This window comes from Homo sapiens, chromosome 12 (genome assembly GCF_000001405.40).
Source record: "Homo sapiens chromosome 12, GRCh38.p14 Primary Assembly".
In the NCBI taxonomy this organism is placed as follows: domain Eukaryota; kingdom Metazoa; phylum Chordata; class Mammalia; order Primates; family Hominidae; genus Homo; species Homo sapiens.
The window spans coordinates 121,996,058-122,019,805 of NC_000012.12; the positions used below are offsets into that span (position 1 = coordinate 121,996,058).

The 23,748-nt window shown below is 47.9% G+C and overlaps 1 protein-coding gene and 1 long non-coding RNA gene across 2 annotated transcripts in view; one reads left to right on the forward strand and one right to left on the reverse strand.

Annotated features, from left to right (window-relative positions):
• The window catches only part of CFAP251 (cilia and flagella associated protein 251), an 85,328-nt gene extending 77,466 nt beyond the window's left edge, over window positions 1-7,862 (forward strand). The window contains exons 20-22 of the mRNA NM_144668.6: window positions 3,659-3,887; window positions 5,440-5,541; window positions 7,595-7,862. Of these exons, the coding sequence (NP_653269.3) occupies window positions 3,659-3,887; window positions 5,440-5,541; window positions 7,595-7,707 (444 nt within the window). The 3' untranslated portion in view covers window positions 7,708-7,862. The remainder of the gene's footprint in view (window positions 1-3,658; window positions 3,888-5,439; window positions 5,542-7,594) is intronic.
• LOC124903038 (uncharacterized) lies at window positions 416-9,643 on the reverse strand. Its single transcript, XR_007063499.1, has 2 exons — window positions 9,555-9,643; window positions 416-916 (listed from the first exon to the last, which is right to left on the reverse strand). It is a non-coding gene; the product is annotated as an uncharacterized LOC124903038 (long non-coding RNA).

A 23,748-nucleotide genomic window follows, 5' to 3' on the forward strand; every position in this document is an offset into this window, starting at 1 on the left:
GATAGGTTGGTAGCTTGGCAGTGCTGCAAACTGGTGTCCTCTGAATTTTTGTTCCACATTTTTTAAGTGGGACATGGAGAAATTGGTTACCGATTGATAAGTAATGTGTACAAATAGAGATTAAATTCCTGGTTCATTCCCACAGACCAAAGTAGAATGCCTGTTCTTTGGCAGGAGCAGGGAGGAGAGGAAGCAAATTGGTTCCCACTTCTCTGTTGCTCTTATTCTTTCTTTGTAAAATTCCAAACCCCACAGTTTATTGGGAAACATCCTAGGTTAAAATGTAAATGCTAAAATAAGTTACTAATTCCTAGCCCTTTCACTGGTATAATTGGGGTTTCTGCATTTCAGCTGACTGCTACATGCACGGTACAAAAATACTGCACAGAGAGAGGCTGACGGCAGTGAGGAACAGTTTTGTTTGTTTCTTTATTTATTATATTTCTCTCTTCCTCGTGTTTTGCCAGTGACATAAGGCGTCCTGTGAGGAGTCCTGTGTTAACTGGCCCCGCATTTCCACTTAAACCTAGGCATGTCAGCACCCTTTTCTCATTCGAGAAAAATTAGAAAATACACAAACTTTCCAAATGAGAAGGGGAAAATTTTTTAAATTATTATTTTTTTAAGCTGCAAAGAATGAACGTCTAAAAGATCTCATGGGCTTGGGCTCTGTAGGAGTTGGCAGTAGTAACACCATCACCCGATCATCTGCTGGTGGCCAAAAGGAAAGCCCTTATCAAAAAGGTATTTAGGAGCCTGGAGTCACAGCTTTTATCTCTGATGGGAAGCTGTGCACACTCTAAAGTGAGGTGGCCTGGTGCAGCCCCACTGGAGGGTGTTTTTAAGTTCTTGCAGTGACAAGTTGTCACATTTTCTTTTTGCTTCATCCAGATGCATGAATCAAAGCAACTGAAGTCTGAAAGGGAATGAAATGCCATGAGCCAGTATCTGTAACCTGCGGGTGACAACTCGAGAGCAACAAGTGACTGGGTTTAAGATGATCTCCTTTTAAAGGCGTCTTTAAAGCAAAAGGAAGCATGTGTGTTAGGGATCCACGCGCATGTGATGAACCACATAGAGCAGTGAAGTGGTGCAAATGGAAAATTCAGTAGCCAGTACATGGGGCGAGGAGGTAGTGAGATGGCACGAGGGAACAGCACATGCGTGAATGCAAAGGCGTACGCCACAACACCCGGCTCATTTTTGTATTTTTTGTAGAGACAGAGTTTCACCAGGTTGTGCAGGCTGGTCTCTAGTTCCTGGGTTCAAGCAGTTCTCCTGTCCCAGCCTCCCAAAATGCTGAGATGGCAAGGTGTGAGTCACCGTTCCTGACCATCATCTCTCAAAAAAAAAAAAAAAAAAAAGGCATGCATGATGGCTCACTCCTGCATCCCTACACTTTGGGAGGCAGCTGTGCTGCAGCCTGGGTGATAGAGCGAGATTCTGTCTCTTAAAGAAAAAAAATTTAAGTCTTCCAATCCCTGAATATGGAAAGTCTTTCCATTTACTTATGTTTTCTTTAGTTTTTTTTTTTTTTACAATATTTTGTAGCTTTTAGAGCACAAATCTTGCATTTTTGTTAAATTGATTCCTAAGTACTTTATTCTTCTTAATCCTATTATAATTGGAATTGTTTTATTAATTTATTATAATTATTGTGCTGTTCACTGCTAGTGTGTAAAGAAATACAATAGTTTGTTTTTTTTTTTTTGAGTTAGAGTTTTGCACTTGTCACCCAGGCTGGAGTGTAATGGCGCCATCTCAGCTCACTACAGCCTCCACCTCCCCAGTTCAAGCGATTCTCCTGCCTCAGCCCCCCGAGTAGCTGGGACTATAGGCATACGCTACCACGCCGGGCTAATTTCGTATTTTTAGTGGAGACAGATTTTCACCGTGTTGGCCAGGCTGGTCTTGAACTCCTGACCTCAGGTGATCTACCCACCTTGGCCTCCCAGAGTGCTGGAATTACAAGCCTGAGCCACCATGCCCGGCCTCAATTGATTTTTTTTTTAAGACAGGGTCTCACTTTGTGTCCCAGGCTGGAGTGCAGTGGCATGATCATGGGCTCACTGCAGCCTCGAACTTGTGGGCTCAAGCAGTCCTCCCACCTCAGCCCCCTGAGTAGCTGGAACCATAGGTGCATGCCACATGCCTGATTAATTTTTTGTTTTCTGTAGAAGCAGGGTCTTTTAATATGTTGCCCAAGCTGGTCTCGAACTCCTGGCCTCAAGCAATCCTCCAGCCTCAGCCTCCCAAAGTGATGGGATTACAGGGGTGAGCCACTGCACCTGGCCTATAATTGATGTTTATATTATTGATCTTATACCCTGCAACCTTGCTGAAGTTGTTTACCAGTTCTAATAGTTTTTAGTGTAATATATATATATATATATATATATATATATATATATATATATATATATATATATATGATTGTGTTATCTGCAAATAGAGATAGTTTTGCTTCTCCCATTCAATTCTGGGTGCCTTTTATCTTCTTTTCCTGCCTAATTTCCCTGGCTAGAACCTCCAGGACAGTGTGGAATGGAAGTGGTGCCAGGTGGCTCATGCCTGTAATCCCAGCACATTGGGAGACCAAGGTGGGCAGATTGCTTGAGCCCAGGAGTTTGAGACCAGCCTGGGCAACATGGTGAAACCCCGTCTCTAAAAAAAAATACAAAAATTAGCCAGGCATGGTCAAGCATGCCTATAGTCCCAGGAACTCTGGAGGCTGAGGTGAGAGGATCGCCTGAACCTGAGAGGTCAAGGCTACAGTGAGCAGAGGTTGCCTCACTGCACTCCAGTCTGGGTCAAAGAGTGAGACCCTGTATCAAAAAAAAAAAAAAAAAAAAAAAAAAAAAGGGGGAAGTGGTGAGAGTGGACATCCTTGTCTTTTTTTCTGATCTTAGGAGGAGAAAGCATTTAGTCCTTCATCATTAAGTATGATGTTAGCTGTGGGTTTTTCACACATGCCCGTTATTGGGTTGAGGAAGCTTCTTTCTATTCCTAGTTTGTTGAGTGTTTTTACCATGTAAAGTTGTTAGATTTTGTTAAATGCTTTTTTTCTATGTCTGTTTAGATGATCATGTGGTTTCTGTCCTTTATTCTGTTAATAATAATGTATTATATTAATTGAGGTTGACATGTTAAACCAACCTTGCATTCTTGGGATAAATCCCACTTGATCATGGTGCACAATCATTTTGTATGCTCCTGGATTTAATTTCTTGTATTTTCTGGAGGATTTTTCCATCTAAAATAATTGGAAAGTATTCCTTTTTCCTCTATTTTTGTGCAGTTTGTGGAAAATTAGTATTCTTTTTTTTTCCCCCCGCCGAGACAGAGTTTCACTCTGTTGCCCAGGCTGGAGTGCAGTGGCACGTTCTTGGCTCACTGTAACCTCAACTTCCAGGGTTCAAGTGATTCTCATACTGTGCCAGGCTAATTTTTGTATTTTTAGTAGAGACAGGGTTTCACCATGTTGGCCAGGCTGGTCTCAAACTCCTGGCCTCAAGTGATCCTTTGGCCACGGCCTCCCAAAGTGCTAGGATTACAGGCATGAGCCGCTGCACCAGCCCTACTGTCCAATTTTTAGAAATCTATCCTGGTGCCTTTTCTATTTACTGTGGTCTTTTTTTTTTCCCCATCTTTCCCCTAGATTGATGATATATTTAACGAAATCAAATTTGGTGAATATGTGGACACTGGAAAGCTAATCGACAAGATCAACTTACCAGATTTCCTAAAAGTGTACCTTAACCACAAGCCACCTTTTGGTAACACCATGAGTGGCATCCACAAGAGCTTTGAGGTGCTCGGTTATACCAACTCCAAAGGGAAAAAGGCCATTCGAAGAGAGGACTTCCTGAGACTGCTCGTTACTAAAGGTAAGCACATACATCAGGATGTCTGGTAACATCCTGGGGCCATTCCCAGTGTAGAGAACTGAGTTTGGGGAGCCAGCCCCTGTGGAGCTCCATCTTTCATGAAAGAGGTGATTTGACCAGATTTGAGCCATGAGGGGTCTGGCTGACCCACCTGCATCCCTGGCAAGTACGAAGTAATGGGAGGGACCCGGAGCTAGAAAGCAAAAGAATGTGATTCGTGTTGCAACTACCTGAGCCTCAGCAAGACTCGGCATCCTCACTTGTAAAATGGGAATAAAAATGCCAGCTGATCCATCTCCCTGGGCTGTCATAAGATTTGGGTTGGGGCCGGGCGCAGTGGCTCATGCCTGTAATCCCAGCACTTTGGGAGGCCGAGGCGGGCGGATTGCTTGAGGTCAGAAGTTCAAGACCAGCCTGGCCAACACAGTGAAACCCCATCTCTACTAAAAATACAAAAATTAGCCGGGTATGGTGGCACACGCCTGTAATCCCAGCTACTTGGGAGGCTGAGGCAGGAGAATTGCTTGAACCCGGGAGGTGGAGGTTGCAGTGAGCCAAGATCACGCCACTGCAGTTCAGGCTGGGTGACAGAGCGAGACTGTCAAAAAAAAAAAAAAGAAAGAAAAAAAGAAAAGAAAAGAAAACAAATATTTGGATTGCATTTGTGAAATGCAACCACACCAAAGTAAACTTTTTAATTTTTACCTACTATGTTTCTCATTATTGTACATGAGGATGTCAAGTAAACTCTCTTGGGATGACAGTTTCATCTTAGTCCAAGTGGGTGGTTCTGAGAGGAGGGAATTTGAAATGAAGCAGAGCCTGGTCCCCGCAGCATGCTGTCCTATTTCTCTATGCCAGCCCCATGTATGTTCCTTGCCTGGAGGACCCTGTTTAACACCATTAGGAAGCATATGTGACAGTACCATGGGACTCTAGATCATTTTTGTGTCTAAAGAAAAGGGGCTGGGCGCAGTGGCTCACACCTGTAATCCCAGCAGTTTCAGAGGCTGAGGCAGGAAGATCACTTGAGCCCAGGAGTTCGAGACCAGCCTGGCCCAACATAGCAAGACTTCATCTCCACCAGAAAAGTTTTTATTGTTTTTGTTGCTTTTTTTTTTTTTTTTTTTGAGACAGAGTCTCGCTCTGTTGCCCAGGCTGAACTGCAGTGGCACGATCTCAGTTCACTGCAACCTCCAACTCCAGGGTTCAAGCAATTCTCCTGTCTCAGCCTCCCGAGTAGCTGGGATTACAGGCCGCGCCACCACACCCGGCTAATTTTTGTATTTTTAGTAGAGATGGGGTTTCACCATGTTGGCCAGGCTGGTCTCGAACTCCTGACCTCAAGTGATACGCCCACCTTGGCCTCTGCAAGTGCTGGGATTACAGGCATGAGCCACCACGCCCAGCCTAAATTTTTTTTTCAATTGAGTAAAAGAAAAAAAAATAGTGGGATAATTCTCTTTAAGACCTCTGAATAATAACGCTAAGCCCTGACAGTATGCTTAGCCTCAAGAGTTAAACAATCACCTTCTCACTCTTTGACACACAGGTGAGCATATGACGGAGGAGGAGATGTTGGATTGCTTTGCTTCACTGTTTGGCCTGAATCCCGAGGGATGGAAATCCGAGCCTGCAACCTGCTCCGTCAAAGGTACCCCAGCTGGCTTTGTCTGGGCATGTAGCTGTGGCTCACTGATTTGTTGTAGACTTCAGTACATTTATTTCTCCTGATCGGTGCAAGCCACTCTCCCTAAGACTGCACATAACAAAGCATGTCTGTTGGGAATCCCACATGAATAAGTTATGAAAAGAACAGTGAGTGGTGGCTTTTGTTCCCGCGCTCTGTCCGTCCTTTTGTTTCTTCTGGGCTTATTTTCCCTTTGTTCCACTGACCTGTCATCTTGCCGGCTTGGGTGGGTGAATATTGGCCACCCGTAGAGGATCCAGTTTGACAGCTGTTTCAGGAGAATAGGTATGTAAAGAGAGACTTGGGGGCCAGGCACCATGGCTCACGCCTGTAATTCCAGCACTTTGGGAGGCCAAGGCAGGAGAATCGCTTGAGGTTCAGAATTTGAGACTGGCCTGGGCAACATAGCGAGATCCCATCTCTACAAAAAAAAAACCAGGCTGGGCGCAGTGGCTCACGCCTGTAATCCCAATGCTTTGGGAGGCCGAGGAGGGTGGATCACATGAGGTCAGGAGTTCAAGACCAGCCTGACCAACATGGTGAAATCCCATCTCTACTAAAAATACGAAAATTAGCCAAGCATGGTGGCACACACCTGTAATCCCAGTTACTTGGGAGGCTGGGGCAGGAGAATCGCTTGAATCCAGGAGGTGGAGGTTGCAGTGAGCCGAGATCACACCATTGCACTCTAGCCTGGGTGACAAGAGCAAAACTCCGTCTCTAAATTAATTAATTAATTAAAGCAAAACAAAACAATTAGCTGGGCATAGCGGTGTATGCTTTTAGTCCCAGCTACTCAGGAGGCTTAAGTGGGAGGATGACTTGGGCCCAGGTGTTCACGGCTGCGGTGAGTGAGGATTGTGCCACTGTACTCCAGCCTGGGCAACAGAGTGAGAGCCTGTCTCAATTAAAAAAGAGAGAGAGAGAGAGAAAGATTTGGAGAAGGAGAGAGCATCAACTTGGTGGGCAGTACAAGCCCAGCTACAAGCTGCCAAAACTTTCAGGTTTTTAAAGATCATCCTCCTGTCCCTTCCTGCTATAGCCTAAGTATTTTTCACCTTTTCGTGCACTGGACCTGAAGTTAGGGCCGTGACTTTCAGCTCAGGAGGAACCAATCTAAACGGCTCTTCTAGGCTCACTGGTACAGGAGCAACTCTGCTGACAAGCCCGGGGATGGTCAGATCCCACCACCATCACCAAGACTGAGGAGGGTGCAAAGACCCCTCACCCATTCCCCTTTTCCCTCTCCTTTTATTGTCCATTCCCCACATCAAATTAAACAAAGTCCCTGAACTCAGATAATTTCAGACTCCAGTAGCTAACAGGTCATTCCCAACCTGCAAGCTCTCCCTACCCCATTCCTTTATGTGCTTCAGATCTCAGAATGTACCTTTCCTGATTGTTATATATTTCTGCTGTGTTCCCAGGCATCTTGAAACAGAAAAATCAATCATACCATGTGGTTAAGGCTTTCCAGTAAGGTTTGCAGAGATTTGGTTAACAGCGTTCTGTTCCGTAAAGGAGAGATTTTTAAGCAATTTCCACCCAGAGTTTTTCAAGGAATCAAAGCCAAATCACAGCACAAAGCCCCTCTTGTTTTTGTTTAGTAGCATTTCCTTGTGTTTTTGGAAAATCCTCCTGAGTTAGAAACATAGTCATTGAGGCCAGATGCGGTAGCTGTAATCCCAGCGCTTTGGGAGTCTGAGGTGGGAGGATCACTTGAAGCCAGCAGTTTGAGATCAGCCTGGGTAACATAGCGAGACCCCATCTCTACAAAAAAATTTTAAAATAAGCTGGGCGTGGTGGCGTGTGCCTGTAGTCCCAGCTACTTGGGAGGCTGAGGTGGGAGGATCACTTGACCCCAGGAGTTCAAGGCTGCAGTGAGCTATGATCGTGTCACTGCACTCCAGCCTGGGCAACAGAGCAAGGCCCTGTCTCAAACCCCTCCCCTCACCCAAAAAAGAAAGAAACATAATCATCATGAAGGCATTTGGTGTTCTTTTCTTGTTTTGGCTAGGTTCAGAAATTTGCCTTGAAGAAGAACTTCCAGACGAAATCACTGCAGAAATATTCGCGACTGAAATTCTTGGCTTAACCATTTCAGAAGATTCCGGCCAGGATGGTCAGTGAAGTTACCAGGAATGTTTAAAGCACAAAGGACTTTGGGTGTGTGTGCATGCACATGTGTGTGTTTTCCATGAGGCACTGCTTTTTATGCATTTCCCTCCCCCCTCTCATCTTTAGAACATTTAGACATTAAAGCAAGTTTCTGGTGAGCAATGGAATTCACAAAGTTGGACATTCCACTGTTTCTGAAATAGAAAAGTGGGCGGAGGCGAGAAAAACCCTGGCAGCTGGATGTACATGGTGGCTGGATCTCTGGGTCTCTGGTGATGCTGCCTGGATGGGGTTTGCACGGGATATGGAGGGGGCGTGGTCTCAGGGGGCAGAGGGGTCCTCAGCCAGCAGCAGGCCTCCCTCGCGACACATGTGGTCCAGGGAAATGATGGTCCATGGCCTCATTCCCTTTCCCTGCAGGGCCACCTGGACCCTCCGCCCAGTGTGGCCCAGTGTGGATCACCCCTGCCTGTTGTGGGGCTGGGGTGGGGGTGCCGGGTGCGCCGGGCTCCTGAGAGTCCCAGATTGTGGCTTCTTATCAGCAAAACACCCAAGTGGTGGTGTGTGACCGTTATAAAGAGCATCATTAGCCATGCTTAACCCCGGTGGCAGCTGCCAGGAGAATGCAGAAGCCCCTCTGAGCGCCCCCGAGCCTGTTCACGCTGCACCTGCGCCAGAAACCACAGAGCAGCCCCGCCCAGCAGAGGCCGGGGCCTCCCTCGCACCCACACTCACCAGTGTGGTGGCTTGGCCGCCTCACACTCTGCTGGGCCGCAAAACATGTAGTAGGCAAAAATAGGGGCCGGTTCCCCAGCTCTGGGACGTTCAGGGGGCGTTACTAAGTTTATAGCAGTATTTTGGCCTTGAAAATAGCATAGCATTGTAGTGTGAACAGATGAGAGTTAGTCTGACTTTGGAGTTTTGTCATCCGTTCTGAGGCCTCATTCAGGCAAAGGTGCCAGATGTCATTCTCCAACACACTCCGTCCAACACACCCCCTAGACCAGCTTCTTCCTCAGAGAAACTAGCATCTGAGATAACATTTCTGATCCACTTAAAGTGCCTTTCTCGGAAGGAACATTCCGTGGCAGAGAAACAGAATAACAACCACATCCTTACTCATGCACGAAGCCCCCTCCACTACGTGGGGTCCAGCTGGAAATCTGGCATGGTGAGAATCTTTGGAACGCCCCGGAACGTGGAACGGAACTGTCTACCCCAAACCAGGCTGTGTCACTGTGACCTTGGGGCAGACAGCACGGGCCAAGGTTCTGCCGGTGCCAGCTTGTCAGATCATGTCACCAGGGCTTTGCAACCTAATTTACATTTTGTTCTTTTTAAAAAACATGAAAAGAAAAACAAGCTTTATGAATCAATTTTGCAGCTGCTGAGGGCTTAGGAGATCTAGTATCAAGCCAGTTAAAAAGTTCCTGGGGACATTTTAGGGAACAAGAAACTCTCAAGTGACTTGTTCTCTTCAAAAAATAACTCGGAATTGGATGCAGTCTCTCACCAACCGGGGGCTTCATTCATTGAATCTGGCGCCCTCTGATTTGGTTCTGATTGATGGCATGTATTGGAATTGTCTTGAGCAGAACCGACCTGTGGTCAGTTGGACCCACTATGGCAGGTTCATTAAGCTGGGACACTGCCTAGCGCAGGCAGATGCTCTTTCTCTCTGCCCATCCGGCTTCAGCATCTCCTTTGGACTCAGAGAGCGGGGAGGTGGAGGTCCTGGTTATGGATCATGGTTACGGTTATGTTCACTGAGGAGACCAAAATCACCATGGACAGCAGGATTGGCACGAATGGCATCCCACCCCACACCCAGCCCAGCCTGGCAGGGGGACCCTTCTTACCTGGGAACCTCTTTCTGCAGGTGTTTGTGGGTTGTTTGGTTTTTCGTTTTTGAGATGGAGTCTGGCTCTGCCACCCAGGCTGGAGTGCAGTGGTGCGATCTCAGCTCACTGCAACCTCCGCCTCTTGGGTTCAAGCAATTTTTGTGCCTCAGCCTCCTAAGTAGCTGGGATTACAGGCATGTGCCACCAGCCACCATGCCTGGCTAATTTTTTTTTTTTTTTTTTTTTTTGAGACAGAGTCTCGCTCTGTCGCACAGGCTGGAGTGCAGTGGTGCAGTCTCGGCTCACTGCAACCTTCACCAGAGAAACTAGCATCTGAGATAACTCAGATTATGTCCCAGGTTCAAGTGATTCTCCTGCCTCAGCCTCCCAGGATACAGCTGGGATTACAGGCACACACCACCATGCCTGGCTAATTTTTCTATTTTCAGTAGAGATGGGATTTCACCGCGTTGGCCAGGCTGGTCTCGAACTCCTGACCTCAGGTGATCCACCTGCCTTGGCCTCCCAAAGTTCTGGGATTACAGATGTGAGCCACCGCCCTGGCCAAGGTGCTTGGGTTTTGTTGTCTCCCAACTTCCTTGACAAAAGCAGGGCACAGCCAATTGCCCCTTTCAGCTCCAGGAGGGCCTCTTCACCTCTCATCAGGGCAGGCCCAGCCTGTTGGCCTCAAAGATGAGAAAAGGGAGGACCCAGTGGCCCGGTCCCATCAGCAGGAAAGAGGATACAGTGCAGAGAGCTCAGGCTTCCAGCAGTAGGGTGGCAAGGCAGCGACAACAGGAAGGGATGGCAAAGAAGACAGCGTCGCGGAGCTTGCTCATGCATCACACTTAGGGACTAAATGCTGAACACCAAAAACACTGTGATGCTCCTTTGCAGAAAGATTCCTGTGCGTTTCACACGGGGCTTGTGGCCGGCTGACTCTTACATCCCGGTTTGTGAGTTCTGGATCAGGAACCACCAAGAGCCTCCCCGGCGCCAGCTCTCTGCTCCAGACCCGGTCCCACCTGCAGGTGAGGGCCTCGCACGCACAGCGTCTGCGCTGGGAGCCCATGGACTTGCCGCGCTCCTGTTCAGCTTCTGCAACTTTCTAGCCACCTGTGCGCCCTTGGGTGTGGCTAAGCTCTTAGACCTCAGTTTCCTCCCGGAGCAACTCCTGCGGTGGTGGTGCGGATGAGAAGAGATGGTGCAAGTAAAGCGTTATTGGCACAGGGTAGAGCTCCAAATATGACAGCAGCTATTATTATCACAGCAGAAACTGTGCCCGAGAATCAGGAAGACATTTGGTGCAAATTAACCTCTCCCAAACCCAGAGTTTGAGCAAGAGTTAGCGTTTGCTCAAATAGGGGTCTCTCCTAGTTTTGACGATGAGCTCTCAACAAGTATTTGTGGAATGATGGAATGAATGAATTTGAAGCCTCCCTGCTCTTTTCTTTTTTTTTTTTTTTGCCGCTCTGTCACCCAGGCTGCAGTGCAGTGGCACAATCTCGGCTCATTGCAACCTCCGCCTCCCAGGTTCAAGTGATTCTCCTGCCTCAGCCTTCCAAGTGGCTGGGATTACAGGCCTGCGGCACCACACCTGGCTAATTTTTGTATTTTTAGTAGAGATGGGGTTTCACCATGTTGGCCAGGCTGGTCTCAAACTCCTGACCTCAGGTGATCCACCCACCTCGGCCTCCCAAAGTGTTGAGATTACAGGCGTGAGCCACTGTGCCTAGCCACTCCATGCTCTTTTCATAGCTGACTTAGCTTTGGAATGAAGGCCAATGGCAGGTCCTTATAGGGCCCTCATCAGGCTGGGCAAACCTCCCCTGTCAAGGGCCAGGGAGTAAATATTGAGGCTCTTGGGGCCAAAGGGCCTCCGTAGTGACTTCCCAATCCTGCCATTGTAGTGCAAAAGCCCCCAGGGACAACACAGAAAAGAATGCCCGTGGCTGCCTCCCAGCCCCACTTCACCTATGGACACTGACATTTGGATTTCATGATAATTTCCACATATCATGGACTATTATTTGTCTTTTGTTTTTTTTTCAACCATTTAAAAATGTGAAACCCATTCTTAGCTCGGAGACCTGCAAACACAGGCAGCAGCCTAGATTTGTCCCACAGGGTGTAGCTCACCACCCCCGACTCTGCCTCGTAGGCCAAGGGTACTCATTCCAGCAGATTTCCACAAATACTACAAATCTGTACCAAACACCTGACCGGCACTCTTCAAAAAATGTCAAAGTCATGACAGACAAGGAAAGATGGAGAAACTCTCACAGACCAGAAGAGACGGAACCATGACAACTAAATGCAGTGTGGACACCTGGATCCGTTCCTGAAACAGAAAAAGGACATCAGTGGAAAAACTGGTGAAATCCAGCTAAAGTCTGTGGTTTAGTTAACAGTGTTGCACCAATATTAATTTCTGAGTTTTGGGCGGTGCGCAGTGGCTTACACCTGTAATCCCAGCACTTTGGGCAGCCGAGCTGGGAGGATCACTTGAGCCCAGGAGTTCAAAATCTGCCTGGGCAACATAGGGAGACCCCGTCTCTACAAAACATTTTTTTAAAATTAGCTGGACATGGTGGAGCATGCCTGTGGTCTCAGCTAGTCAGGAGGCTGAGGCCAGAGGATCACTTGAGCCTGGGAGGTTGAGGCCGTAGTGAGCCGTGATCGTGCCACTGCACTCCAGCCTGGGTGACAGAGTGAGATCCTATCTCAAAACAAAATTTCTGAGTTTTGCTCAGTGTATCACAGTTGTGTAAGATGTTCACATTAGGGAAACTGGGTGAAGGGTCTAGGGATCATGGCACTATCTTGGCAAGCCTAAAATTATTTCAACATAAAGTTTTTATTTATTTTTATTTTTATTTTTATTTTTTGAGATGGAGTCTCGCTCTGTCACCTAGGCTGGAGTGCAGTGGCGTGATCTTGGCTCACTGCAACCTCCGCCTCCCGGGTTCTTGCCATTCTCCTGCCTCAGCCAGCTGGGACTACAGACGCCTGCCACTATGCCCGGCTAATTTTTTATATTTTTAGTAGAGATGGGGTTTCACCATGTTAGCCAGGATGGTCTCGATCTCTTGACCTCATGATCCGCCAGCTTCGGCCTCCCAAAGTGCTGGGATTACAGGCGTGAGCCACCGCGCCCGGCCATAAAGTTTTTAAAAAATGAAATCTGTACCACCTTTCTGACTCAGTCACCCCTGAATTATTTCCACTATCTGCTCTGTGCTTTCAATTCTTGAGCAGATTCTCCTGCCGGCGCCACAGCACCTGGTCCCCTCACTGGCTGCCTGGCCTGTGCAGACCTGGCCTTCTGCTGTGCTTCGAGGTGATGCAAACAAAAAGGTCTTTTTTTAAACATCTGTGTCCTCAAGCTGTGGCTGCCTGAGACACTGGTGTTTTCGGCTTGAGCATGTTCTTTAGGGATTTGGCCAGCAGTTCCCTTGCGGGCAGCTATTTCCAAATTGACTGTAATAAATAGATGCCAGGCGCTGGGAGTTGACAGTAGTTGCCACCCTGCTCATATGTCATGTAACCGCCCTCTGCTAGCTTAGCTGGAAGGAATATTAAAAAAAAAAAAAGAAAAGCCGGTTGATCCAACACTGTTCAGCGGCAGCGAGATGCTGACTGGTGGGACAGTGAGCTGCGGGTCTCGGTGCCCCGAAGCTGGTGTTCTCCCGAGTGCACTGATGCCAAGGCGGACTCACATTTATCAGTGCCCAGGCGTGAGGCATCAGCCCCAGGAAAGTCGTCCAGCACTGGCATCACTGCCCTCCCTGAGAGTGTGAAATTGCAAGTGATGCCGTGAGGCAAGGGTGGGGGCGTCAATACTGAAGCTGCCCCGCCTCAAAAGGGCTTGGACCATGGCTGGGCACGGTGGCTCACGCCTGTAATCCCAGCACTTTGGGAGGCCGAGGCGGGCGGATCACGAGGTCAGGAGATCGAGCCCATCCTAGCCAACACGGTGAAACCCCATCTCTACTAAAAAAAAAAAAAATACAAAAAATTTAGCAGGGCGTGGTAGCAGGCACCTGTAGTCCCAGCTACTCGGGAGGCTGAGGCAGGAGAATGGCATCAACCTGAGAGGCGGAGCTTGCAGTGAGCCGAGATCGCGCCACTGCACTCCAGCCTGGGCGACAGAGCGAGACTCTGTCTCAAAAAACAAAAACAACAAAAAAAGGGCTCGGACCATCGTCTGAGGCCCCCTCCCCATGTCCTCTTGTTGTTTTGATTGGAAGTCATAAAACACATCAGTGTAAATATAGTATTTATTTTTGCATATCTTTTTAAAGCTGCATATCTTTAAAGCTGGTGGAGTTTTTTGAGGGGAGCAAGTTTCATGACCACAGCAAGGGCAGGCTCCAGTGAGCACTTCACGCCACCTGGATGTGCTGCAGACTGCACCACCCCCAGCCCACCGGCCAGACTGGCTGCCCTGGAGAAGGCTTAGTGGGTAGTCCCCTGGGCCTGGACCACGGCTGTCCCTGCACCCGCGAGGGGATGGGGGGAGTGGGGCACATGCCTCCTGGATGCGAGGGTGGCTGCCGTCCCCCCTCCCCTGGAAGCATCTCATTTCTTCCTTTATAATCTGAGCGAGATGGGGCTGGAAGAAGTGGCTGTAGCCCCAGCACTTTAGGAGGCCAAAGTGGGCAGATCACCTGAAGTCAGAAGTTTGAGATCAGCCTGACCAACATGGCAAAACCCCGTCTCTATTAAAAATACAAAAATTAGCCGGTTGTGGTGGCGCGCTCCTGTAATCCCAGCTACTTGGGAGGCTGAGACAGGTTAATCGCTTGAACCTGGGAAGCAAAGATTGCAGTGAGCCGAGATGGCGCCACTGCACTCCAGCCTGGGTGACAGAGCCAGACTTCATCTAAAAAGAAGAAAAAAAAAACCTGAGAGAGATGGACTTCATTTATTACCCACTCACGAATTCAACAAACGCTGACTGTGTGCTGGGCCCTGTGTGAGGGCTGCCTATCTGGAGTGAACAAGAGAGTGGCTGTTGTCTTTAGGGGGCTCATGTTAAACAAACACATTAATGTAAACTTGCAAACGGTGCTCAGAGCTACGAGGGAAAAGCCCGGCCCCTGTGAGAGGGAATCCCTAGAGGGGGGCAGGTTTAGATGAAGTGGTCAGAGAGGGGAGAATGTTCCAGAGGGAGCCAAGTGAGCCAAAGCTGGGAGCTGCGGAAGAGCCAGATGCATTCAGTGAACCAAAGCTTTCCATGGTCAACCCTGGGGAATGCTGCAGGCTCAAGACAAGGCATCTAGAATGACCTCTAGTGTTCCTTTACCACTGCCAGTGTATGATTCTTCCTCATGAGCCTGAGTAGGAATGTTTCATATGGGAAGTGGGTAGGTGGCGGGGTGCAGCAGCTCACACCTGTAATCCCAGCACTTTGGGAGGCTGAGGTGGGAAGATTGCTCGAAGCCAGGAGTTCAATACCAGCCTGGGCAACACAGCAAGACCCCGACTCTATTAAATTTAAAAAGGAAAAAATGAAGTGGGTAGGAAGAATGGAGGCTGGTCAAGTGTTCCAAGTGGAAGATCTGGCCACTTCTCATTTCTTCATATTCCAGGGTCCTGATGTGGGATAGGCGGTCACTCAGAGGGTCCCAGGAAAGACTAGCCCCAAAGTCAGTGTGTTCCTTCCTATGACACCAGCCACAGATTGAATGGCTCACAGTGGGTTTCAGCCCCACCTACTTTAAGTCCTTAAGTTGGCACTTTTTCATCCTTTTGAGATTTCCAGGGATTTCAAGTTTTTAAAAATGAAATCAGCTGGGCAACATGGCTCATGCCTGTAATCCCAACACTTTGGGAGGTCAAGGCAGGAGGATCGTTTTGGCCTAGGAGTTTGAGACCAGCCTGGGCAATATGGTGAAACCCCATTTTTATTAAAAATACAAAATTTAGGCTAGGCCCAGTGGATCACACCTGTAATCCCAGCACTTTGGGAGGTCAAGGTGGGCGGATCACCTGAGGTCAGAAGTTTGAGACCAGCCTGGCCAACATGGTGAAACCCCATCTTTACTAAAAATACAAAAATTAGCAGGACATGTTAGCACGCACCTGTAATCCCAGCTACTCAAGCAGCTGAGGCAGGAGAATTGCTTGAACTCAGGAGGTGGAGGTTGGTGAGCCAAGATTGTGCCACTGCACTCCAGCCTGGGGGACAGAGCAAGACTCCATCTCAAAAAAATAAATAAATAAAAACAAAATTTAGCTGGGCATGGTGGCACAAGGCTGTGGTCCCAGCTACTCCAGAGGCTGAGGTGGGAGGATCACTTCAGCCTGGAGAAGTTGAGGTGCAGTGAGCTGTTTTGCACCCCTGCACTTCAGCCTGGGCAGCAGAGTGAGACTCTGTCTCAAAGAAGGAGAAGGAGAGAGGGACAGCTTCAATTTGGTGTCAATCATGATCTTTGGTTTGCAGTAATAGAAATTGACTCTGCTTAGCTTAAGTGGAAAAGGACTTGATTTCAAAGCTACCAGGCAACTCACAGAATCAATGGAGACACTGGAGAAGCAAGCCCTGGAGATGAGTGGGAACCAAAGGATGCCAGGACGTCCCAGTGGTGCTGCCACCCCTGAGCACTTGATCCTCCAATCTCGTTAAGATTTCCAATGGCCACGTCTGCTGTGAGTCATTTCTCCATTGTCCCTACCTTCCTCAAACCTCAAAGTCAAAATCAATCCCACAGTAAGATCCCGCTTGACCTCCACTAGGATAGCTAAAAATTTAAAAAGACAATAACAAGTGCTGGCGAGGATGCGGAGCAGTTGCCACATTGCCGGTGGAAGTGTAAAAGGGTGCAGCTGCTTTGGAAAGTAGCTTGGCAGTTCCTCAAAATGTTAAATATAGAATTACCATATGACCCAGCAATTCCCTTCCTAGGTATGTGGCCAAGAGAAGGGAAAATATACATCCACACATAAAGACCATTATGTACATTAGTGTTCACAGCAACATGAATCATAGTAGCTAAAAGGTAAGGTAAGACCAGGCACGATGGCTCATGCCACAGATCACAGATCCCAGCACTTTGGGATGCGAGGGTGGGAGAATTACTTGAATCCAGTAGTTCGAAACTTTGAGACCAGCCTGGGCAAGTGAGACCTCATCTCTTGAAAAAAACAAAACAAAACAAAACAAAACAAAACCAAGGCAGGGCATGGTGGCTCACGCCCGTAATCCCAGCACTTTGGGAGGCAGAGGCAGGTGGATCACCTAAGATCAGGTGTTTGAGACCAGCCCGGCCAACATGGTGAAACCCCATCTCTACTAAAAATACAAAAATTAGCTGGGCATGGTGGCTCGTGCCTGTAATCCCAGATACTTGGAAGGCTGAGGCATGAGAATGGCTTGAACTCGGGAGGCGGAGGTTTCAGTGAGTTGAGATCATGCCATTGCACTCCAGCCTGGGCGACAGAGCGAGACTCCATCTCAAAAAAAAAAAAAAAAGAAAAACAAAAGGTAGAAACAACCCCATAACCATCAACAAAAGAATGAAAAAACAAATTGTGGTATATCTATACAGTGGAATATTATTTAGCTATAAGAAGAAATTATGTATTAATGCATGCTACCGGATAGATGATCTTTGAGAACATGCTGAGCAAAAGAAGCCAGACCTAAAAGGCCACATATTGTATGACTCAATTCATGTGAAACATCCTTAATTTACGTGAAACCATATAGACTAGTGGTTACCAGGGACCGTGGGGAGGGGACAGAGAGTGACTGTTTAATGTGACTGTTTAATGGGTACAGGGTTTCTTTTATGGATGATGAAATGTTCTAAAATTGATTGTGGTGACAGTTGCACAACTCCGTGAATATACTAAAACCCACTGAATTATACACTTTAAAAGGGTGAATTTTATGCTGCATGAATTATATCTTAATAGAACCATTATTTTAAAAAATCAACCGGCTAGACCATCCACCATCCACACCTAAGGTTGGAACCCATTCCCAGGACTTAACTGGGCCCCCAGTGAAGAGAGAGACAGACCCCCTTTAGCTCCGGTAGCGGGGTGGGGAGGGGCTGCCTCCACCCACAAAGGCTCACCCAGAACTAGGAGGGTGTTCAGATGCTGAACAGGTGGAATCACTCCACATGTGGAGAGTACAGGGGAAGAAGTCTGGGCAGCCTTCTAGATCCCTGACCTAAGAATGTACCGAGCCTGTGTGTAGAAGGATCCCAACTTTATTCCAAGCCACTGGGTCATCCAGACTTTCTGCATTTAGAAAATGCTAATAATTTGGGACCTCACTGAGTTCCACCAGCTGCGTGTTGCTGAATGCTTATCAACCAGCTCTGGGTGGGGAAGAGGGGAGGGGCCTGACGTATAGCACTTGCCAATTTCCATAGTGTAAATATTCCCATTAGAGCTGATTTCAAACTATCAGCATTATGACATGTGTGGAGTCCGGAAGCCCCGGTTCCCCAATCGGGAGAGCTGAGTTCTGGCCACAACTCTGCTAAGTGGCTGGGCAGCTATTGAATTGTAGCTTTCTTTTCTGTAAAAGGAGGGAGGTGGCCTTGATGGTCTTTGTCGTGCTTTGCTTCATCGCCTTTCTGTTCCTGTGTCAGAGGAATGGAGTATATTTCATTCTGTGGTTGGAGCTTTCTCCTTAAAGCTTTGCCTCTTTGCTAGGCCTGGCTAATGACCTGCTCCCTAAACACCAGAGCACCTCTGTTTATGAAACCACAGGCTGCTGCTGCCGCTGCAAGTTGCTAGGCTGCAGAGACTCACCGAGGCTGGGCCTGCACGCGCCTCACAATTACACATCTCTGTTCCAGAGATGGAAACCTCCTCCACCCCGCAGTGGTGAACGAGCCTCCACCCCGCAGTGGTGAACGAGCCTCCACCCCGGAGGAACAGCAGCAGGAGTGGATGGAGACTTGAATTTAGAAAGCAGGGAAAGGGGAATCGTTTGACTTCAGTCCCTAGCGAGGGTCATTACATAGTAATGATGTTTAATCATTATGATGATTATAATGATGACGTGAACAATCGTACAGGTCCTCTAACAAATATAGTCATGTGTCGCTTAACGACGAGGATATGTCCTGAGAAATGCATTGCTGGGCAATTTTTTTCCTGTTTTTTTAAGAGAGTCTCATTCTGTCACTCAGGCTGCAGGGCAGTAGCACGATCACAGCTCACTGCTGCCTTGAACTCCTGGGCTCAAGCGATCCTTCCACCTCAGCTGGCTGAGTAACTGGGACTACAGGGGTGCACCACCACACCTGGCTGATTTTTTTTTCATTTTTTTGTAAAGACTAAGTCTCGCTATGTTGCCCAGACTGGGCTTGAACTCCTGGCCTCAAGTGGTCCTCCCACTTTGGCCTCCAAAGTGCTGGGAGTACAGGTGTGAGCCAGCCATGGTGCCCAGCCCAGACAATTTCATCAGTGTGCAAACATCACGGAGTGTGATTTCACAAACCCAGATGGTGTCACCTACTGTAAACCTAGGCTGTATGGTACAGCCTACTGCTCCTAAGCTACAAACCTGTACGGCCTGGGAATCCTATACTGTACCGTACTGAATTCTGCAGGCAATTGTAACACAAAGGTAAGGGTTTGTGTATCTAAACATTTCTAAGCATAGAAAAGGTACAGCAAAAATACAGTGTAAAACATAAAAAATGGTCCATCTGCACAGGCACTTACCGTGAATGGATCTTGCAGGCTAGAAGTTGCTCTGGGTGAGTCAGTGAGTGGTGAGAGAATGTGAAGACCCAGGACATTACTATCCACTACTATAGGCTTTACAAACATGGTACACTTATGCTGCATTAGATTTATTTTAAAAATACAGTTACAGCCAGGCGCGGTGGCTCATGCCTGTAATCCCAGCACTTTGGGAGGCTGAGACGGGTGGATCACCTGAGGTCAGGAGTTCAAGACCAGCCTGACCAACATGGTGAAACCCCATCTCTACCAAAAATACAAAAATTAGCCGGTGTGGTGGCGGGTGCCTGTAATCCCAGCTACTTGGGAGGCTGAGGCAGGAGAATTGCTTGAACCAGAGAGGCGGAGGTTGCAGTGAGCCATGATCATGCCATTGCACTCCAGCCTGGGCAACAAGAGCGAAACTGTATCTCAAAATATAAAAATAAAAATAAAAAAATAAAGTTAGGCTGGGCATAGTGGCTCACAAGTGTAATCCCAGCACTTTGGGAGGCTGAGGCAGGAAGATCCTTTGAGCCCAGGAGTTTGAGACCAGTCTGGGCAAAAAAGTGAGACCCCCCCCGCCTTACAATAAAGAAAAAAAAAAGCGTGGTGGCACACACCTGTAGTCCCGGCCTCCTCAGGAGGCTGAGGATGGCTTCAGCCCAGAAGGTCAAAGCTGCAGTGAATAATGATCCTGCCACTGCACTCCACCTGGGCAATAGAGTGAGACCCTGTCTCAAAAAAATAAATAAATAAAAAATAGCTGGGCATGGTGGCCCACATCTGTGGTCCCAGCCACTTGGGAGGCTGAGGTAGGAGGATCACTTGAGCCTGGGAGGGGGAGGCTGCAGTGAGCCATGATCCTGCCACTGCACTCCAGCCTGGGCAGAGTGAGACCCTGTCTCTAAATAAATAATGTAATTGCGGGAGCAAGACCCCGTCTCTAAATCAATGAATGAAAGTAATTGCACTATGACGTGAGGATGGATCCAATGTCATCAGCTCCGTTACAATTTTCTGGGACCACCATCGTATATGCAGTTGTTGACTGGAACGTTGCTATGTGGCACACGTCCGTCCTTTCTGATGCAGCACTTACCGCGTGGTGACACTGCTCTAAGTGCTTGACAGATAGTGTGCATAATTCTCTTTTTATTTTGTTTTTTGAGATGGAGACTCGCTCTGTCGCCCAGGCTGGAGTGCAGTGGTGCGATCTCGGCTCACTGCAAGCTCCACCTCCTGGGTTTATGCCATTCTCCTGCCTCAGCCTCCCGAGTAGCTGGGACTACAGGCGCCCGCCACCACACCCGGATAATTTTTTGTATTTTTAGTAGAGACAGGGTTTCACCATGTTAGCCAGGATGGTTTCGATCTCCTGACCTCGTGATCCGCCCGCCTCGGCCTCCCAAAGTGCTGGGATTACAGGCATGAGCCACCGCGCCTGGTCTAGCGCGCGTAATTTTCATAAGAACCCTATGAAATGGGTGTAGTTATTTTCATCCCCATTTTACAGATGAGGCACAGAGAGGTTAGGACATTTGACACAGCCATAACTAACTCACTCACTCCTGTGACCCTGGAATCCCTCTTTTACTCTTTTTTTTTTTTCTTTTCTTTGAGATGGAGTCTCGCTCTGTTACTCAGGCTGGAGTGCAGTGGTGTGATCTGGGCTCACTGAGACCTCCATCTCCCGAGTTCAAGTGATTCTCCTGCCTCAGCCTCCTGAGTAGCTGGGATTACAGGCACCTGCCACCACACCCGGGTAATTTTTGTATTTTTAGTAAAGATGGGGTTTCGCCATGTTGGCCAGGCTGGTCTTGAACTTCTCACCTCAGGTGATCTGCCTGCCCGCCTCAGTCTCCCAAAGTGCTAGGATTACAAGCGTGAGCCACTGTACCCGGCCTCTCTTTTACTCTTTTAACATAACTAGAATAATAGTAAACATTTGTAGAGAGCTTGACTTCCAGTTTCTAGTAAACAATTATTCAGACTAACTCTCGAAGTAACTAAAAATGCTAGGAAAAATACTTGAAAATATCCTAAAAGCCACTACATGCTGACTGTAAGAAAGAAGATAGTGAGAAATTAGGCCAAAATTGAAGGAAAAAAACTGAAATGTAATCTGGCAAGGAAGCCACTTTTACTTTTGCCAGCTTAGCATATTTGAACTTGACCATGAATGATTTTATGGGGCAAGAGGCCAGAAAATTAGGCTGGGTGCGGTGGCTCACGCCTGTAATCCCAGCACTTTGGAAGGCTGAGGCGGGCGGATCATGAGGTCAGGAGATCGAAACCATCCTGGCTAACATGGTGAAACCCTGTCTCTGCTAAAAATACAAAAAAAAAAAAATTAGCTGGGCGTGGTGGCGGGCGTCTATAGTCCCAGCTACTCAGGAGGTTGAGGCAAGAGAATGGTGTGAACCCAGAAGGCGGAGCTTGCAGTGAGCCGAGATTGTGCCACTGCACTCCAGCCTGGGCAACAGAGCGAGACTCCGTTTCAAAAAAAAAAAAAAAAAAAAAGGCTGGGCGCGGTGGCTCATGCCTGTAATCCCAGCACTTTGGGAGGCTGAGGTGGGCAGATCACGAGGTCGGGAGATCGAGACCATCCTGGCTAACACGGTGAAACCCCGTCTCTACTAAAAATACAAAAAATTAGCCAGGCGTGGTGGCGGGCGCCTGTAGTCCCAGCTACTTGGGAGGTTGAGGCAGGAAAATGGTGTGAACCCAGGAGGCGGAGCTTGCAGTGAGCTGAGATCACGTCACTGCACTCTAGCCTAGGTGACAGAGCAAGACTCCGTCTCAATCAAAAAAAGGCCAGAAAATTAAAATCCACGACTCACACTAAGCGGGAGTCCTTTCCCACGATAATCTGGGCCCTGTCGGACTCCACCAATGGTATGCTGGTAAATGTTCAACCACCAGCTCTGGCTGGGGCTGGGGAAGGAGGGTCCTGATGTATAAATCATTTGCCGATTTCCATGGTGTAAATACTCCCTCCACAGCTGATTCCAAACTCTCAGCATGAGGTCACTAAACACAGAGCTGGGAAGCAGAAGCCTGTAAACCATCTGCAGCACATCCCTGGCTCCACCCTCAGACTACAAGAAGTCAACCAGTCTTGCACAACTATGCGGCCAGGATTCGCATCACCTGAGTGGTCGGGGGCTCACAAACCCTGAACTAGGATTGAGGTCACCCCAGACTAGCAGTGACCTGAGGGGCCTGGCAGAAGCAAATATAAATTATTTCTAGGGGGAGGCCTCAAATTATCCCTATGAATAAATTTTAAAATAGTGTCCAGCATGGTCAAAGAGAACCAGGCATATAACAAGGAACTATGACACCATGAGCAAGACCTAGCAGAAACAGACTCTTGGAGACTTCAAATACTAGAATCATCAGACACAGGCTGTAAAACTACTGTGCTTTGTTGAAAGAAAGAAGTGTAAAAATACCTGCAGGAGACAGGAAACTACTAAAAGTGACATACTAGATTTACAAAGGACATTTGAAGAAAGCTTTATGGTTTTATTGGGGATCAAAATCACAAATACTTTCAGGGGCCAGACAGGTAACACAAATGAGTAAAGTGGCTATGAGTGCACTGGTGACCCAGATAACTCTGTCTGAAAGATACAGACAGAGCTCTCTGCTCTAGCCGATGGGTGCCATGTGGCACTGAGGGTCCAGTTTGCAGATCTGCTGGTTCTAGAGAAGCTGGGTATTTTTTTTTTTCCTTCCTTCCTTCCTCCCTCCCTCCTTCCCTCTTTTTCTTCCTTCTTCCTTCCCTCCCTCTCTCCTTCTCCTCATCCCTCTCTCTTTTCTTCTTTCTTTCTTTCGTTCTTTCTTTTCTCTCTCTCTCTCTCTCTCTCTCTTTCTTTGCTTCATGCAGTGGCATGATCTTGGCTCACTGCAGCCTCTACGTTCTGGGCTCAAGCCATCTTCCCCACCTCAGCCTCCTGAGCAGCTGGGGCTGCAGATGCGCACAACCACACCTGGCTATTTTTTGAATTTTTTGTAGAGATGGGGTTTCACCATGTTGCCCAGGCTGGTCTCAAACTCCTGGCCTCTAGCAGTCCACCCACCTCGGCCTCCCAAAGTGCTGGAATCACAGATGTGAGCCACCGCGCCCAGCCTAGATTTCTTTTTATTATGATCAAATACACATAAAATTGACCATTGTAACCATTTAAAAGTGTACAATTCAGCGTCATTAAGTACATTCACATTGTTCTGCAACCATCACCACTATCTCATTCCAGAACTTTCCTATCACTCCGAAAGGAAACCCCACATCCGTTAGCAGTCACTCCTGCTCTCCCTCCCCCTTGCCTCTGGCAACCACCAATCTGATATCTGTCTTTATGGATTCGCCTAGTTGTAGATATCTCCCGCAAATGGACTTACGCATATTTATCCTTTTGTGACTGGCTTCTTTCACTTAGCGTGTTTCAAGGTTCACCCATGTTGTAGCATGTATTCATTCCCTTTTATGGCTGAATAATATTCCATT